Raw genomic sequence first — 19,355 nt, 5'->3', positions numbered from 1 at the left:
CTGGGATATGGCAAAGGTGGTGCTAATAGGAAAGCTCATAGCCCTAAATGCTTACATCAAAAAGACTGAAAGAGCACAAACTGACACTCCAAGGTCACCCCTCAAGGAACTAGAGAAACAAGAAGAAACCAAATCCAAACCCAGCAGAAGAAAGGAAATAACCAAGATCAGAGCAGAACTAAATGAAATTGAAACAAAAAAATTCAAAAGATAAACGAAACAAGAAGCTGATTCTTTGAAAAGATAAATAAAACTGATAGACCATTAGCAAGATTAACCAAGAAAAGAAGAGAGAAAATCCAATGACCTCACTAAGAAACGAAACAGGAGATATTTCAAGTGACACCACTGAAATATAAAAGGCCAATCAAGGCTACTATGAACACCTTTATGCACAAAAACTAGAAAACCTAGAAGAGATGGATAAATTCCTGGAAAAATACAACCCTTCTCGCTTAAATCAGAAAGAACTAGATACCCTAAACAGACCAATAACAAGCAGCGAGATTGAAATGGTAATTTAAAAATTACCAACAAAAAAAAGTTCAGGACCAGACAGATTCACAGCAGAATTCTACCAGACATTCGAAGAATTGGTACCAATCTTTTTAACATTATTCCACAAGATAGAGAAAGAAGGAACCCTCCCTAATTCATTCTATGAAGCCAGCATCACCCTAATACCAAAACCAGGAAAGGACATAACCAAAAAAGAAAACTACAGATGGATATCCTTGATGAACATAGATGCTAAAATCCTTAACAAAATACTTGCTAACCGAATCCAACAAATTACCAAAAAGATAATCCACCATGATCAAGTGGGTTTCATACCAGGGATGCAGGGATGGTTTAACATGCACAAGTCAATAAATGTGATACACCACGTAAACAGAATTAAAAACAAAAATCACATGATCATTTCAATAGATGCAGAAAAAGCATTTGACAAAATCCAGCATCCCTTTATGATTAAAACTCTCAGCAAAATGGCATACAAGGGACATACCTTAGTGTAATAAAAGCCATCTATGATAAACCCACAGCCAATATAAAACAAACTTTCCAGATACAAGATTAATGTACAGAAGTCAGTAGCTCTTTTATACACCAACGGCGACCAAGTAGAGAATCACATCAAGAACTCAACCCCTTTTACAATAGCTGCAAAACAAAAAACAAAAAACAAAAAAAAACCTTAGGAATATACCTAACCACGGAGTTGAAAAACCTCTACAAGGACAACTACAAAACATTGCTGAAAGAAATCATAGATGACACGAACAAATGGAAACACATCCCATGCTCATGAATGGGTAGAATCAATACTGTGAAAATGACCCTACTGCCAAAAGCAATCTACAAATTCAATGCAATCCTCATCAAAATACTACCATCATTCTTCACAGAATTAGAAAAAAAAAATTCCAAAATTCATATGGAACCAGAAAAGAGCCCACATAACTGAAGCAAGACTAAGCAAAAAGAAAAAGCTGGAGGCATCACACTACCTGATTTCAACCTATACTATAAGGCCATAGTCACCAAAACAGCATGGTACTGGTACAAAAATAAGGACATATCTTTTCCTTTCAGCCGGAACTGCCATCTTCTAGTAATTCGCCAAAATGACGAACACAAAGGGAAAGAGGAGAGGCACCCGATATATGTTCTCTAGGCCTTTTAGAAAACATGGAGTTGTTCCTTTGGCCATGTATATGTGAATCTATAAGAAAGGTGATATCGTAGACATCAAGGGAATGGGTACTGTTCAAAAAGGAATGCCCCGTAAGTGTTACCATGGCAAAACTGGAAGAGTCTACAATGTTACCCAGCATGCTGTTGGCATTGTTGTAAACAAACAAGTTAAGGGCAAGATTCTTGCCGAGAGAATTAATGTGCATATTGAGCACATTAAGCACTCTGAGAGCCGAGATAGCTTCCTGAAATGCATGAAGGAAAATGATCAGAAAAAGAAAGAAGCGGAAGAGAAAGGTACCTGGGTTCAACTCAAGCGCCAGCCTGCTCCACCCAGAGAAGCACACTTTGTGAGAGCCAATGGGAAGGAGCCTGAGCTGCTGGAACCTATTCCCTGTGAATTCATGGCATAATAGGTGTTAAAAAAAAAAAAAAAAAAGACCTCTGGGCTATAAAAAAAAATAGGGACATAGACCAATGGAACAGAATAGAGAACCCAGAAATAAACCAAAATACTTACAGCTAACTGAACATAACAAAAACATAAAGTGGGGAAAGGACACCCTTTTCAACAAATGGTGCTGGGATAATTGGCTAGCCACATGTAGGAGAGTGAAACTGGATCCTCATCTCTCACCTTATACAAAAATCAATTCAAGATGGATTAAGGATTTCAACCTAGGACCTAAAACTATAAAAATTCTAGAAGATAACATTGGAAAAACCCTTCTAGACATTGGCTTAGGCAAGGATTTCATGACCAAGAACCCAAAAGGAAATGCAATAAAAACAAAGATAAATAGCTGGGACCTAATTAAACTAAAGAGCTTTTGCACAGCAAAAGGAACAGTCAGCAGAGTAAACAGACAACCCACAGAGTGGGAGAAAATCTTCACAATCTGTACATCTGACAAAGGACTAATATCCGGAATCTACAACAAACTCAAACAAATCAGTAAGAAAAAAACAAACAATCCCATCAAAAAGTGGGCTAAGAACATGAATAGACAATTTTCAAAAGAAGATATACAAATGGCCAACAAACATGAAAAAATGCTTAACGCTGCTAATGATCAGGGAAATGCAAATCAAAACCACAATGTGATACCACCTCACTCCTGCAAGAATGGCCATAATCAAAAAGTCAAAAAACAATAGATGCTAGTGTGAATGCGGTGGACAGGGAACACGTCTACACTGCTGGTGGGAATGTAAACTAGTACAACCGCTATGAAAAACAGTGTGAGAGATTCTTCAAAGAACTAAAAGTAGAACTACCATTTGATCCAGCAATCCCACTACTGGGTATCTACCCAGAGGAAAAGAAGTCATTATTCAAAAAAGATACTTGCACACGCAAGTTTATAGCAGCACAATTCACAATTTTAAAATTGTGGAACCAACCCAAATGCCCACCAATCAACGGGTGTATAAAGAAATTGTGGTGTATATATATGTATATACATATATACATGGTGGAATGCTACACAGCCATAAAAAGGAATGAATTAACAGCACTTGCAGTGACCTGGATGAGATTGGAAACTATTATTCTAAGTGATGTAACTCAGGAATGGAAAACCAAACATTGTACGTTCTCACTGATATGTGGGAGTTAAGCTATGAGGACGCAAAGGCATAAGAATGATACAATGAACTCTGGAGACTTGCCGGGAAGACTGTGCCTGGCTTGTGGCTTATTTGTTGCAGCAGCCACAGGAGACTAGGTCGGAAAGTGACTCACCTTCAGTGAGACCTGTTCTCGAAGCGTGGAGTTGGCATAGGCGAAGGTGCTGGCCATCCCGATGCACACAGCAATGCCTGTGGGACAGAGAAGGGCCTGATGTCACCCACTTAGACTCATCAGGCCTAGCCCAGGTGCTGAGCAACATGGGGGAAAAGGCACATCCCTGGTCCCCTCAGAGTTGACAGAAGAGAGAGAAAAATAAAAAAAATCCCACTTCTTGGGGATTTGGGCTGCCATCTAAATCTCTGGGAATTCTGAGCCATTCTGACTTAGGGACAGGATTTAGGTCCCTGTGGGGATACTTTATAGCACTGGATCAGGGGATGGGCTGTGCAGTCTGGTAAGGGCTGGGTTCAATTCCCAGCTCTGCCACTTCCTCTCTGTTTGAGCTTGGGCAAGTCACCGCACCTCTCTAAGCCCCAGTTTCCTCATCTGTAAAATGGACAGAACAATAACATTACTTATACCTCATAGAGGGATAAAGCTTCTAGATCATAATCCCTAGCAGTTAGTGAATGATGCCTCTTATTATTTCTACTTTTAAAAAGAATCTGATTGATAGAATCAGATAGAATTTGTGATAAAAGCATACATTGAAAAAACTCACCGCTGGGTGCAGTGGCACACACTTGTAATCCCAGCACTTTGGGAGGCCGAGGTGGGCAGATCACTTGAGGCCAGGAGTTTGAGACCAGCCTGGCCAACATGGTGAAATCACATCTCTAGTAAAAATACAAAAATTAGCCACACATGGTGGCATGTGCCTGTAGTCACAGCTACCCAGGAGGCTGAGGCACAAGAACTGCTTGAACCCAGGATGGGGAGGCTGCAGTGAATTGAGATCACACCACTGCACTCCAGCCTGGGCAACAGAGCAAGACTCTGTCTCAAAAAAAAAAAAAAAAAAAAGAAAAAGAAAAAAGAAAAAGAAAAAACTTACAACGCCATAAGGAATTCAAGTTTAATGTTCAATGAGAAAAAAAAATCCCAGCTAACAGACAAACATGACCCAGGCAGATGGCAGAACGGAATTGAATTTTCTTCCACCAGTCATTTCATTGCCACTGTTTGCCAAGCTACAATCTTGGAATTCTCCCCAAATAATGATTTTCGAGTCCTGCTTTTTGTTATTTGTAGACAGGATTCCTCTTTCACCTGATGCACTTACTGTTTATTTATTGAGACACTGTCTCACTCTGTCGCCCAGGCTGGAGTGCAGTGGTGCGATCTCAGCTCACTGCAACCTCCACCTCCTGGGTTCAAGTGATTCTTGTGCCTCAGCCTCCCGAGTAGCTGGGACTACAGGTGTGTGCCACCACACCTGGCTAATTTTTGAATTATTAGTAGAGATGGGGTTTCACCATGTTGGCCAGGCTGGTCTCGAATTCCTGACCTCAAGTGATCCGCCCACTTCAGCTTCCCAAAGTGCCAGGATTACAGGCGTGAGCCACCGTACCTGGTCGCACTTACTCTTTTAATAGGTATGTGTACTCCAGCTATTTTTCCAGATCTACTTTGTAGAAGCTGTATTTCTTCACTATAAGCACATAAAACAAGAATGAGTAGCCCCATAATCCTTTTTGGTACTCTTCTCTTTGATTAAAAAACAAAACAAAAAAAACCTGCCAAGTGAAAAATAAAATGATCATACTCACAAAACAAAACTTAGCTGTGATGCCAGAATTCAGGGTAGTGGGGAAGATGCCAGCTTTCACTTCTAGGAATAGAAAGGGTGGGGCTGATAGGGCAGCACCCCAGCAAGGAAGGTGGAGGAATCTGAGCGAGCTGGCAGTCACCAGAAAGAAGAAAATAAGAAATAAAGAATGGTCTCATCTCCTCTCGAAGCTTTCTCTCTCTCTCTTTTTTTTTCAGTAGAGATAGGGTCTCACTATGTTTCCCAGGCTGGTCTCGAACTCCCAGCCTCAAGCAATCCTCCTGCCTCGGCCTCACAAAGTGTTGGGATTATAGGCATGAGCCACCACACCTGACCGATATTTTCTCATGGAAAGTAGTAGACCACAAGATAATTCTTACCATCACTCCTACTGCAGTACTAAAACAACAGTGTATAAGCCCGCCAGGGCACAGCAACACCATGATCTAATAAGTAAGCCGGGTGTGGTGGCTCACACCTGTAATCCCAGCACTTTGGGAGGCCAAGGCAGGTGGATCACTTGAGGTTAGGGCTGAGAATCACTTGAACTCAGTGGGTAGAGGTTTGCAGTGAGCTGAGATCGTGCCACTGCACTCCAGCCTGGTGACAGAGTGAGACTCCATCTCAAAAACAAAAACAAAAACAAAAACAAACAAACAAAAAAACAGTAAGTAAGATTAATAATAACAATAACAGTATACTAGGCCAGGCACAGTAGCTCACGCCTGTAATCCCAGCACTTTGGGAGGCTGAGGCGGATGGAACACCTGAGGTCAGGAGTTTGAGACCTGGCCAACATGGTGAAACCCCGTCCCTACTAAAAAATACAAAAATTAGCTGGGTGTGGTGGCGGTTGCCTGTAATCCCAGTCACTCGGGAGGCTGAGGCAGGAGAATTGCTTGAACCCGGGAGGTGGAGGTTGCAGTGAGCAGAGGTCGCGCCATTGCACTCCAGCCTGGGCAACAAGAGCAAAACTCCATGTCAAAACAAACAAACAGAAAACAGTATACTAGAGGCCAATTATTGACTGTTGAGTATGTGTCAGATAGGAGGCTGAGCACTTTATGAATCATTATCTTATTTCCTAAAAATAACAATAGGTAGTATTTATTCATCATTTGCTGTGTTGAATATTTCAATTCAGGCTCTATGTTAAATATTTCAATGTGTGTTAATAACAAATATAGTAGGCCGGGGCAGTGGCTCATACCTGTAATCCCAGCACTTTGGGAGGCTTAGGTGGGAGGATTGCTTGAGCCCAGGAATTTGAGACCAGCCTGGGCAATATAGTGAGACTTCGACTCTATGAAAAAATTTAAAATTTAGCCGGGTGTGGTGGCACACGCCTGTAGTCCCAGCTACTCAGGAGGCTGAGGTGGGAGGATAACCAACCTGGGAGGCAAAAGTTGCAGTAAGCGAAGGTTGCAGTGAGCTGAGACCTGCACCACTGCGCTCCAGCCTGGCTGAAAGAGCAAGACCCTGTCTCAAAAAAAAATATATATATATATATATTATATATATAATATATATATTATATATATATAATATATATTATATATATATAATATATATATTATATATATAATATATATATTATATATATATACACACACACATATAGTAAAAATAATGTGTTTTACACATATTAAGTCAAATTTAACATCACTGTGATCCCATGAAGACTATAAAATCATACCCCCACTTGATAGATGAGGAAACTGAGGCACAGAGAGGTTAAATAATGCACCTAGCATCACACAACTAGGAGGGGACAGAGCTAGGGTGCAGACTCCAGCAGTCTGAGTTATTACACAGCACTCCTTTACACCAGCCAACCAGCGAGGAAGTTTCTATCCTAACCCCCACTAGACAGATGAGGAAACTGAGGCTCAGAGAAGCCAAGTGACTTGCCTGAAGTCACACAGCTAGTCGGCCAGGATTTGAACCCAGGTCTGACTCAGAATCCCACATCCTGAAGCCCATGTTGGTCTCTGCTGCCTCTCCCTGGGCTTCAGAGGAGGAGCCCCCACCCCACCGGCTGCAGGCAGCCTGCCTGTGAAGCCCATGGCTAGGACACCCATGCCCCCAGAACTCACCGAGCTTATGCTGAAAGCACAGTTTGGCCAGGAGGATCAGGATGAAGGGGAGTCCTTTCTGGAGCCAGCAGATCACAGCCTTCAGCTCGGACAGGGCGGGGGCGGGCGTCCCAGGCTGCTCGTCGCCTCCCTCCTCCGAGTGCCCCCGGTGGTCCCCACCCACGTGCTGCAGCAGGGAGCCCCCGCGGTGGCCGCCATGGTGGAAATGGTGGTGGGGCTGGCGGTGGTGGTAGGCGCCCCCCTCGCCCCGGCCCCCTCCTTCCTCCCTGGACGCGGGCATCTGGATGAACACGTCCCCGCCGCCAGCCGAGGAGCCCAGCACCAGGCTGGAGGGGAACGAGCTGGTGGGGAGGCTGCCTGATAAGCCCGAGAAGAGCGCTGGTGGGGAGGCTGCCTCTGCCTTCAGACTCTCAAAGACGCCACCTTCATCCACACTCGCCTCGGAGCTGAGCGCCTGGCTGCGGTTTCTGGGTGCCAAGGGGAGAGAAACCCCAGGAAGTCAGGCAGATGGAAAAGACCTTACTCCAGAGGAGGATGGGGACTAATAATATCAATTATGTTATGGGTTGAGCTGTGTCCCCCTCAAATTCACATGAAGTCCTTCCTCCCAGGACCTCAGAATGTGACCCTGTTTAAAGATAGGGTCTATACGAGGCAATGAAGTTAAAATGAAGTCACTGGAGTGGGTCCCAATCCAGTGTGACTGCTGTCCCTGTAAGAAGAGGTTAGGGCTGATGCAGTGGCTCATGCCTGTAATCCCTGTACTTTGGGAGTCAGAGGTGGGAAGATCACTTGAGCCTAGTTGTTCAAAACCAGCCTGGGCAACATAGGGAGACCCCATCTTTACAAGAAATAGAGCTAAATTAGCCAGGCATGGTGGCGCATGCCTGTAGTCCCAGCTATTCAGGAGGCTGAGGTGGGAGGATCACTTGAGCCCAGGAGGTTGAGGCTGTAGTGAGCCAAGATCTCGCCACTGCACTCCAGCCTGGGCGACAGAGAGCCTGTCTCAAAAGGGGTGGTGGGGGGGGAAAGAGGAAGAGATTAGGACACAGGTACAGAGAGTAGACCATGTAAAGACCCAGGGAGAAGACGGCTGTCCACAAGCCAAGGAGAGAGGCCTCAGAAAGAACCAACCCTGCTGATACCCTGATCTCAGCCTTCCAGCCTCCAGAATTTGTTATAAGAAATTTCTGTTGTTTAAGCCCCCTGGGGTGTGGTACTTTGTTACGGCAGTCCTAGGAACTAATACAAATAATATTAATAACAATAGGTCGTAACCTTTATTGAAACCTACTACGTGTCAGATAGTCTTCTGAGTGTTTTGCATTGATTAACTTACTAAATCCTCCCATCAACCCTGGAATTAGGTCCTACTGATATTCCCGCTTTACAGATAAAGAAATGGAGGCTCAGAGAGAGAAAGTAACTTGTCCAGAGTCACAGAGCTGGTAAGGGATGGAGCAGGGGAGATTCGAACCCAGGCCGACTCTCTCTAGAGCCCACTTTAGTAACCAGCACACTTCGTTGAAAAGGGAGCACAGAATTCTATGATTCTAGAATTACCTCGGGATCCCAAGGACCGCTGGCTCTGCAGTCTTCAAGTTCAATGGCCCCCAGTTCCCCAGAGGGGCCAGCCTTGGTCACAGCTGACATTGGGTGGGCGGCAGAGAGTAATGTGAAGAAGACTTAGCTGGGAGGCCCACATTCAAACTCCAGCTCCACCTGTTCTAGGGGCCTTATACCTCTGCACTCAGCTTTCTCACCTGAAAAATGGGCCTTTATTCCTGAATAGAATTTCTGGGGGTGGGGGTGTTAAATTTAAAATACGTTTTGCAATAATAGGTTCTCAATACGTGGGAACTGTTATCTCTAGTTCCTATGGAAGACCTGCAGTGCCATATTGCTTTCTCTAGTTCCAAGCAAGGGCCTCTTGGGTTGGAATCAGGCAAAGGATTCTGTAGCTCTTGCAGAGCCACTGCTGGCGGAGCAGAGAGCCCGGAGTTAGGCCTGCAGGAATGGAGAGCCCAGAATTGGGTGCAGTTTCCTACGAACATCAAGTTTTGGGTACCATCTTTCTATTCTCGGGTTCATCCTCTTTTCTTTCTTTTTTTTTCTTTTGAGACAGAGCCTTGCTCTGTCACCCAGGCTGGAGTGCAGTGGTGCCATCTCAGCTCACTGCAACCTCCGCCTCCCAGGTTCAAGCGATTCTCCTGCCTCAGCCTCCCGAGTAGCTGGGACTACAGGCACCTGCCATCATGTGCGGCTAATTTTTGTATTTTTAGAGAGATAGGGTTTCACCGCGTTGGCCAGGCTGGTATTGAACTCCTGACCTCATGTGATCTGCCCGCCTCGGCCTCCCAAAGTGCTGGGATTACAGGCATGAGCCACCGTGCCCGGCCGAGGGTTCATCCTCTTTTCAAGTGGAATCACTACATTGCAAACTCAGTCCACACCACAGATGCAAGCGGAGCCGATGTGCTCGACGTGCATGTGTTGGGGAGCAGGAGGACAAAGAGCCACTCCCTCCTTCTCTCACCCTGCAGGCACCTCCACAGACCACTAAGAGACTCCAGATGTACCATGAGCTTACTGATAATGGGCTGGGCTTCATTCATCCTCTGGACCCCACAACCCAGGGCACACAGTAGGTGCTTAATAAATGTATGCCAGATGTTATTCAGTCCGAAATGGCAGCAGGAGGGAGGCTTTGGTGGAAATTTTCCACTGTTTTCATACTTGATCTCATATCATCTATTATATGAGACCATTATCCACAGAGTGAGACGGGGGTCTCACTCTGTTGCCCAGGCTGGAATAGTGTGATCATAGCTCCCTAGAGCCTCAAACTCCTGGGCTCAAGTGATCCTCCCACCTCAGCCTCCTGAGTAGCTGGGATTATAGGCATGTGCCACTGCAATTGGCTCCAGGAAATATGTTTTAAAATATATAAAAGACCAGCCATGGTGGCTCACGCCTATAATCCCAGCACTTTGGGAGGCCAAGGTGGGCAGATTGCTTGAGCCCAGGAGTTCAAGACCAGCCTGGGCAACATTGCAAGAACCTGTCTCTACAAAAAATTAAAAAGTAGCCAGGCATGGTGGCACGCACCTGTAGTCCCAGCTAGTGGGGAGGCTGAGGTGGGAGGATGGCTTGAGCCCAGGAGGTGGAGGTTGCAGTGAGTTAAGATCACGCCACTGCACTCCAGGCTGGGTGACAGAGCAAGATGCTTTCTCAATAAATAAGTAAATGAATAAATAATAATAAAACACATATGTCCAGCATCTGTATTTAAGGATTCAACCAACCTTGAGTCGTGGACCAAAACCCACAGATACAAAAGGCTGACTGTCCTAGCCATTTTATACCAGGGACTTCAGCAGCTGCATATTATCATATCCGTGGGGTCTTGGAACCAATTCCCCCATGAATATGGAGGGCTGACTGTATTTGATTATTTCACGATCCCACTAAAAGCCCTCCCAGGGCTTCCCATTCTGTGTTCCTTCCCATGGTCTCAGAGGAACCCTCTAGACAGGTACAAATATCATTCCCAAATATCATGTTCCTTACTGACAAACAAACTGAGGCTCAGAGAGATGAAGTTGCCAGGCGCCCTGGATTATTTGACTCCAAACTCCAATCTTATCATGTGCCCCTTTCTCATCATTCAAGGGCTTTCTACTACAGGCTATCACCTTCACCGGATGTCTCCCCTAACCCGTACCCCATCCCAACTAGGTAATGCACGCTCATCTGTCAGATTTCAGCTAAAATCTCCCTCCCTGGATTGAGGCTTCACTCCTTCCTAGACAATGACAGTCCCCTGCTCCTTGCTCTCACTGCACCCTCATGTCACCTGCACAGGATTGATCACAGCTGTTATTTTATTCCTCATCTTTCCCTTGAGACCTGTGGCTCTCAATCCTGGCCATATATTATAATCACTTGGGGGAGCTTTTGCAAAAGACAGGTGCCCCGACCCCACTGGAGACCAACTGAATCAAAATCTTTATGGGTGGGCCCCAGCACCTGAAGTTACTCAGAGTCCCCTCAGTGATTCTTGTTTTTTTTTGAGCAGGGTCTCCCTCTGTCACCCAGGCTAGAGTGCAGTGGCGCGATCTCGGCTCACTGCAACCTCTGCCTCCCGGGCTCAAGTGATTCTTATGCCTCAGCCTCCCGAGTAGCTGGGATTACAGGTGTGCGCCACTATGCTTGGCTAATTTTTGTATTTTCTGTAGAGATGGGTTTTCACCATGTTGGCCAAGCTGGTCTCGAACTCCGGAGCTCAAGTGATCCACCCGCCTTGGCCTCCCAAAGTGCTGGGATTACAAGCATGAGCCACCATTCCCCACTGCCCCCCGCTACAGTGATTCTAATGTGTGGTCAGTGCTGCAAACCATAGCTTTGGACAGAGCTCCACTCCACAAGGTCAAAGACCATAACCTTGCTCCCCACTGTATCTTTACCACCCGGCACAATGCACCTGGCACTCAGAACATGCTTAATAAAAAGTGTTTGAAAGAATACATGAACAGGCATACTAAACGCTCTGAGAAGGCCTGCAAGTGAAATAATGGACTTTGCTTAAGCCCAGTGTTCCCCAAACTTATTTGACCACAGAATTCTTTTTATCCATGAAAAACCATTTAACAGCTTGCAGAACACCTGTGACACACAGCAGTGGGACACGGTGGTTTCCCTGGCTGCACAAACTGGGCCTGCAGGTATGTTACTAAAAACCTAGTGAGGCCAGGCATGGTGGCTCATGCCTATAATCCCAGCACTTTGGGAGGCTGAGGTGGGCAGATCACTTGAGGTCAGGAGTTTGAAGCAGGCTGGGTGTGGTGGCTCACACATGTAATCCCAGCACTTCGGGAGGCTGAGGTGGGAGAATCACTTGAGGCCAGGAGTTTGAGACCAGCCTGGCCAATATGGCAAAAAACCCTCTCTACTAAAAATACAAAAATTAGCCGGGCATGGTGGTGCATGCCTATAATCCTAGCTACTCAGGAGGCTGCGGCAGGAGAATCGCTTGAACCGGGGAGGCAAAGGTTGCAGTGAGCTGAGATTGTGCCACTGCACTCCAGCCTGGGCAACACAGTGAGACTCTATCTCAAAAAAAAAAAAAAAAAAATCTGGTGCAATGGAGGAAACTCACGATTGGATTCCCTCCCTCACCAAGCCCCACCCCTGCTGGCTCCAAAAGCCCAGGAAATATGCGCTCCTCCTCCACTGGGCTCTGGATAATAATAATGATAATATTAATAATGACAACAACAGCAAACACCATGGCTATGATCCTCAAGGGGCCTTGAGCTTTTTCTGCACTTCAAAGAGCTCAGCTCAGAAAGCAAGAGCCCTGGCAGGTACCCATGTTGGTCCATGAGGAGGCCACTCTCTCTCCGTGGCCACCCAAGGGGCCCTAGAAAGCCATCCTGTCCCCCTTGAGCTTGCCAGCACTCTGAGTTCACTGGGCTCAGGGGCCTCCAGTACAACCAGGGAAGACTCAACTCACCAAGGGGCTTTTTATAGCTGGCCTCCCTTCCCTGGGCCTCTCCCCTGCATCCAGCCGAGATTTCAGCCTGACTGGGAAAGAATATTCCTTAGGGGGACAGAGGCTGTGCTTCCAACTTAACCACTTAAGCGCCAGAGCTTGAGGCAACCCAGGAGGAAAAGTGGTTCTGCTCAGACACTAGGCAGCCAAAATGTGCTATCTCAAAGCACAGGTGCTGGGGGACACAGGGATGGGGGCCCAAATCTCAGCCCTGCTACTTCCTGGCTGTGTGACTTTAGGTAATTTCCTTCCCCTCTCTGAGCCTCAGCTTCTGCATTTGTAAAATGGGTGCTCTCACTGGGCTAATGTGGCGGTTGGCACAGCATAAGCACTCAATACACGGTTTGAGTTTCCTGCTGTGCTCTCTGCCCGCAAGAGATCTCATGGTTCACTTGAGAGCAGATGACAATGTTGTCTTTAGAGGCGGAAAAGGTTCCAACAGGCAGGCTTATTACAAGCCGGATGCTGTTTCTGCATCTTCACACTCACTCCTTCATCCATAAACAACTCTTTTTTTTTTTTTTTTTTGAGGAGGAGTCTCACTCTGTCACCCAGGCTAGAGTGCAGTCGCATGATCTCTGCTCGTTGCAGCCTCCACCTCCAGGGTTCAAGTGGTTCTCCTTCCTCAGCCTCCTGGGTAGCTGGGACTACAGGCATCTGCCACCACACTGGCTAATTTTTGTATTTTTAGTAGAGATGGGGTTTCAGCATGTTGGCCAGGCTGGTCTCAAACTCCTGATCTCAGGTGATCAGCCTGCCTTACCCCCGCAAAGTGCTGGGATTACAGGCATAAGCCACCATGCCTGGCCCATAAGCAACTCTTGAGTTCTGTTACCTGCCATTTTTGGATGGAGAAGCTGAGACCTAGGGGTGAAGTCATGTATCAAAGTCACCACAGGTGGGAAGTGGCTGAGCTGGGGTTTGGCTGAGCCCCGTGTTCTTCCCTGCAGAACAGGCAGGCACCATACAAAACTCAGTCCCAGTGCTGGGACCGGGGGATACCATTTGTGATTCTGTAGCCAACCCCAGAGTCGCAGGGGGTATGGGATGTGAGGAAGGGAAGGCTTGGCTGCCCGCCCCTTGGATGTATGTGCTAGGACAGGGCTTCTGGGGCTGGAGGCTGTCCCAATCTGAGAACAGGCCCCCAGGTGTGTTCCCTCTTGGGTTTCAATAGATATAAATTCTAGGCTGGGTGCAGTGGCTCATGCCTGTAATCCCAGCCCCTTGGGAGGCTGAGGTGGGCAGACTGCCCAAGCTCAGGAGTTCGAGACCAGCCTAGCCAACATGGTGAAACCCCATCTCTACTAAAATACAAAAAAATTAGCCAAACGTGGTGGTGCGTGCCTATGGTCCCAACTACTCGGGAGACAGAGGCATGAGAGTAGCTTGAACCCAGGAGGCGGAAGTTGTAGTGAGCTGAGATTGTACTACTGCACTCCAGCCTTGGTGACAGAGCAAGACTCCATCTCAAAAAAAAAAAATTCTAGCTCATGAGTGTTTTTTAACCGGTTTTTTTTTTTTTTTTTTTTTTTTTTTTTTTAGATTCTACCTGGTATCTATTAATCACAGGGCCAAACTAACGGCCAAAGTTATTTACATGTCCTTGTGATCCAGAGCCCATAACCCCAACCACTGCTTCATTTAACCTTTTTTTTTTTTTTTTTTTTTTTTTTGAGATAGGGTCTCACTCTGTTGCCCAGGCTGGAATGCAGTGGTGCAATCATAGCTCACTGCAACCTCCACCTCCTGGGCTCAAGCAATCCTCCCACCTCTGCCTCCTGCATAACTAGGACCACAGATGCATGCCACCATGCTGGGTAAGTTTTTATTTTTTGTAGAGATAGGGTCTCCCTATTTTGCCCAGGCTGATCTCAAACTTCTGGGCTCAAGCAATCCTCTCACCTTGGCTTCCCAAAGTGCTGAGACTATAGGTATGCACCACCATACGTGGCTAGTTTTAAAGTTTTTTAGTAGAGACAGGATCTCCTCATGTCACCTAGGCTGGTCTCCAACTAACTCCTGGACTCAGGTTATCCTCCCACCTTGGTCTCCCAAAGTGTTGGGATTACAGGCGTGAGTCACTGCATGGCCCTTCCTTCATCTAAGTTTTACACACGCAGCCAATATTTCTCCTGTCCTAAATCATCTAGGGCCAGACACCAAACTAAAGAGCACCTTGAGGCCAGGCGTGGTGGCTTGCGCTTATAATCCCAGCGAGCAGGAGCTTGGGCGGCCAAGTCGGACAGATCGCTTGAGCCCGGGAGTTTGAGACTAGCCTGGGAAACATAACAAAACCCTGTCCCTACAAATACAAAAATTAGCCGGGCATGGTGGTGCATGCCTTTAGTCCCAGCTACTCGGAAGGCTGAGAGGTAGGAGGATTGCTTGAGCCTGAGAGGTCGAGGCTGCAGTGAGCCGAGATCGTGCCACTGCATTCTAGCCTGGGCAACAGAGGGAGATCCTATCTCAAAAAAAAAAAAAAAAAAAAGAAACCACCTCGGTACCCCAGAGCCCACCAACATGATTCAAACTAGCCAGTCCTAAACTATTGCCCCTGCCTTGCCTTTCTTTCCCCCAGAAAACACAATAAAGGCTGTGGCCTATGCTTTTTCCTCGGTCCTTTCTGCCCTCTGACTATTGCTGGTGCTTCCCCAGGTGGCCCTGCAAGCAGTAGTATGCCCCTTCATCTTGAGAAATGGAAGAAATAAAAATCTCATCTTTCAATGTCATTAGCCTCTCCGTGTTGTTTCTCAGAGCTATGATCTCAATGTTTGTGTAGATTCTTATGTTGAAACCTAACCCATGCCAGGTGCAGTGGTTCACACCTATAATCCCAGGGCTTTGAGAGATCAAGGTAGGAAGATCGCTTGAGCCCAGGAGTTTGAGGCCAGTCTGGACAACTTAGTGAGACCCCGTCTCTACCAAAAAATTTTAAAAATTAGCTAGGTATGGTGGCACATGCCTGTAGTCCCAGCTACTCAGGAGGCTGAGGCAGGAGGATTGCTTGAGCCTAGGATTTGGAGGCTATAGTGAGCCATGATCACCACTGCACTCCAGCCTGGGTAACAGAGCAAGACTCTCTCTCAAAAAAGAAACCTAACCTGTAATTTGATCGTATTGGAAGGTGGGCCTTTGGGAATGATTAGGTGATGAGATGGGCTCTTCACGAATGGGATTAGTGCCCTTAAAAAGGAGACCCAGAGAGATCCCTTTCCCTTCACCACATTAAGACATAGCAAAAGAATGGCCATCAGTGAACCAGAAAGTGGGCCTTTCGCAGACACTGAATATGCTGGAGCTTTCATCTTGGACTTCCTAGCTTCCAGCACTGTGAGAGATAAACATTTGTTGTTTAAACCACCCATTCTATGATATTTTTGTGATAGCAGCCTGTATGGACTAAGACATCTCTATAAATCAAAATTCCACAGGTACATTCATTGATACAATGAGTCAGGTGGCTCACCTATCACACAGGACTTTGAAATTTAGCATAAAAGAAAGAGCAAGCTATTATGCGTTGAATGTTTAGTATGAGGCCATCAGTGTGACTCTAACAACTAACGCTGAGGGTGAGGTATTGTTCAATCCAGTTTTGGGTTGCCCCTCACCACCCGAAGCCTAGAGCCCTCAGATGGAACAGAAGCAGGGATGCCTACCTTTCAGGTGGAATGTTATCCGTGTTGCTGCTGTGGCGTCTCTGCATCTTCCTTAACACCTAAAACCCAACACATGGGTGAGCCAGAGTCTCCCAACACTCCCACTGCCTGTCAGATTGCCAAGGTAATTGTAAACTGCAAACCTGCACTAGTCGTATCTTAGACCCCTAGTGCTCTCTGGCATTTTCCAAAGTATGTTTCAATCTTTCATGCCATTCCATCCTCAATGTGACATTCTATCCCATGAGGAAAGCTATCACCCCATTTCACAGAGGAGGACGATGAGACTCAGAGGTGGAGAAAGTCCTCATGTGAGAGGATAACGCGGTAAACTGTGCAGCCAAGAGGTGCTGGATGAAGTGAAGTGGGCAGCGGACTGGCAGGAGACATGGATTCTGGGTTGATGCTGCTGCTAACTTGCTGTGACCCTAGACAAATCAGTAACCCCTCTGTGGGTTCAGATTCCCCATGTGTTACATGGGAGGGGTGGAGTGGTCAAACCAAAACTTCCTTCCAGCTCTCACATTTAATCAAGTAGTAATAAAGATGCAAATTCTCTTGGAGACGTGTCACCTGATTCACTGTGAAGAGCCACATGGACTTCAGAACTCCATGTTGACGACACTGGAGGTAGGCATTCGGGAATCCTCAGGGGGATGTGACCAATGGATCCCAGAGAGGACAGGCCTCCCCCTCCTCTTCGTCTCCAGAGGGATGCACAGTCAGGGGAGCTTGCCAGAGACTCCAAACCTGGATGGAACAGAACACCTGGATGAACAGTCCCTGCGATACCTTGAATCTGCTAAGAAGCCTTAGGACATTGTTGGTAGCTATAAGCAGATGATTCCATCTGCTCAGTATCTCTGGGTAGCCTCTCAGTGATCCCCCCTTGAAACTCCTTTTTTTTTTTTAAGACGGAGTGGTGCGATCTTGGCTCACTGCAACCTCTGCCTCCCAGGTTCAAGCGATTCTCCTGCCTCAGCCTCCTGAGTGGCTGAAATTACAGGCTTACAGGCATGCGACACCACGCCCACCCAATTTTTGTATTTTTAGTAGAGATGGGATTTCACCATATTGGCCAGGCTGGTCTCAAACTTCTGACCTCAAGTGATCCGCCTGCCTTGGCCTCCCAAAGTGCTGGGATTACAGGCATAAGCCACCATGCCCGGCCCTCTTTGAAACTCTTAAGGTATTGTATTTCATCCTATTGTCAAACTAAGAGTCCTGATTGGGGAAGCCAGAAAATATGTTTTAAACCCTCCAACGGCTGCCCAGTGCAATCAGAATCAAACCCGAGCTCTGTCCATAGCCTACGGGTTCTTCCTGATGTAGCATCATCTGTTTCCAACTGCATTTCCTCCCATTCTCCCTTTTCCCACTCCTGTCCACCCACAGTGGCCCTTCTGTTCCTCTAATGTGTCAGCGTGTCCCTGCCTCAGGGCCTTTGCACTTGCTGTGCCCTCCCCTTGGAATACTTTCTCCTCTAAATGTGGCAGGGCTTGGTCCCGCAGGGCAAATGTCGTCTCTTCCCAGAGGCCTTCTCTTCTCATTCTCCTGACTCCCCGTAATATTGCCCTGTTTTATATTATTCATAGCACTTATTTGTTCATGTTTGCTTATTTATTTATGATTTGTCCTCCCCATTAGAATATAAATGCCATTCCTGAAAGTAGGGATCCTGTCTACTTGGATCACCCCTCTGCCTCAGCATCCAGGACACTGTTTGGCACAGAGTGGCGCTCAACAAGTATTTACTCAATGAATAAAACATCTATGGGTCTCCCAGTTCCCCTTTTCTAGATCCCTTGCTCCCTGTCCCACCTTTCACCCTAGCAAGGTAATAAGGGCCATCTACTTCCCATGAAAAGGTTTAGCCTCCGTGAATATCTTCTTGTCTCTGGAGGCAGAGCCAATATTGTGGATATAGGGTGTCTATATCAGTCAGATGGTGTCTGACTTCAGTTTAGGGCACGATTATTGGCTGTTGAATGACTTCCTAATCCTGACCAGGCTTCTTGAGGGGGCAGCAATGGTGTCACTAGGGCCACTGATTAAAAATGACCCGCCAGTGAAGCCTCCTTTCTCTTTTGAAAAATTAGGTAACAAACCGGTCAGCAGCAGCATCTTCATATATCAAGAAAAGGTCATTATATAAATATTTTTCAAGAATTTGCAATCTCAACTTAATCCTCCTCTCGCCCCTCCCTCCATTATCCCACATTGCAAATCCTTGGGGGAAAATAAAATTCATATTCCAAAGTTCTCATCCACACATTTAACTCCTAAATCGAATGCTCGAAACTCTACTTTCGGATGCTTGTATTGGAAGAGGCTTCGGATTCTTTGTCGGAAGCAGGCCGTACATAATTCTGGAATAAATTTTTGCACGCGGGATGCATCTGAATGAATGAAACGCTTTTTAATCCTCTGCTCTGTACATCCCACTATGTCCCTTTGAAGGACCGCACCGAGACTTTTCGATGCTTGCGATGGTTCAAGTTGCGCCCCTGGGGCCCGTTACAGGACTGCACCGAAATGCACTCAGAGGAGCATCGCCTGCATCACTTGGACTGGAAGCCGGCAGGTGCACTTCGGGAACAACGTCGCGAGCGCTTTTCATCCCTGCAACCAACACACAGCGCAAAACGCTCTGGGACTGCAAGGGCAGGAGACTACACAGACCATGATGGGAGAAAAGAAAAAAAAATCGCGTTCTCTTTTTACCTGCCCAGACAATTCAGCAATCACAGCCGCATCATTCAGGTCCAGCCAAGCCAATCACCCGCGCAGCCTGGGCAGCATGTGACTTCCGATGCTTCCGGCCTCCTATTGGGTGGTTTCTTGGCGTCGCCGGGTCCGGCGCTAGGACCCGGGCACAGCTACGCCCGCAGCACTCACGCGATTGTCCGCCCCCTTTCCCGGCACTTAACCAATAGGAGGCCGCCGT

General features: G+C 46.7%; 1 protein-coding gene and 1 pseudogene across 6 annotated transcripts in view, besides 1 other annotated feature; one reads left to right on the top strand and one right to left on the bottom strand.

The window, feature by feature from the left end:
- RNFT2 (ring finger protein, transmembrane 2) overlaps positions 1–19,188 on the bottom strand; it is a 115,317-nt gene extending 96,129 nt beyond the window's left edge. For all 6 annotated transcript variants that reach the window (NM_001382266.1, NM_001109903.2, XM_047429745.1 and 3 more), the window contains exons 1-5: positions 19,133–19,188; positions 16,982–17,158; positions 16,409–16,467; positions 7,196–7,662; positions 3,443–3,519 (exon numbers count right to left, since the gene is read on the bottom strand). In NM_001382266.1, coding sequence (NP_001369195.1) covers positions 3,443–3,519; positions 7,196–7,662; positions 16,409–16,467; positions 16,982–17,005 — 627 coding nt within the window. In that variant the 5' untranslated portion in view covers positions 17,006–17,158; positions 19,133–19,188. The remainder of the gene's footprint in view (positions 1–3,442; positions 3,520–7,195; positions 7,663–16,408; positions 16,468–16,981; positions 17,159–19,132) is intronic.
- Positions 1,586–2,150, top strand: RPL21P105 (ribosomal protein L21 pseudogene 105; annotated as a pseudogene).
- Positions 18,906–19,165: an enhancer, noted in NCBI's record as "active region_7100". NCBI's record gives its function as "activates an Ori minimal core promoter by ATAC-STARR-seq in GM12878 lymphoblastoid cells {active_cell/tissue: GM12878}" and the evidence as "EXISTENCE:reporter gene assay evidence [ECO:0000049][PMID:35858748]".

Source organism: Homo sapiens, chromosome 12 (genome assembly GCF_000001405.40).
Source record: "Homo sapiens chromosome 12, GRCh38.p14 Primary Assembly".
Taxonomy (NCBI): Eukaryota; Metazoa; Chordata; class Mammalia; order Primates; family Hominidae; genus Homo; species Homo sapiens.
Note: the sequence above shows the minus strand (reverse complement) of the source record. Positions and strands in the feature narration are given on the sequence as shown.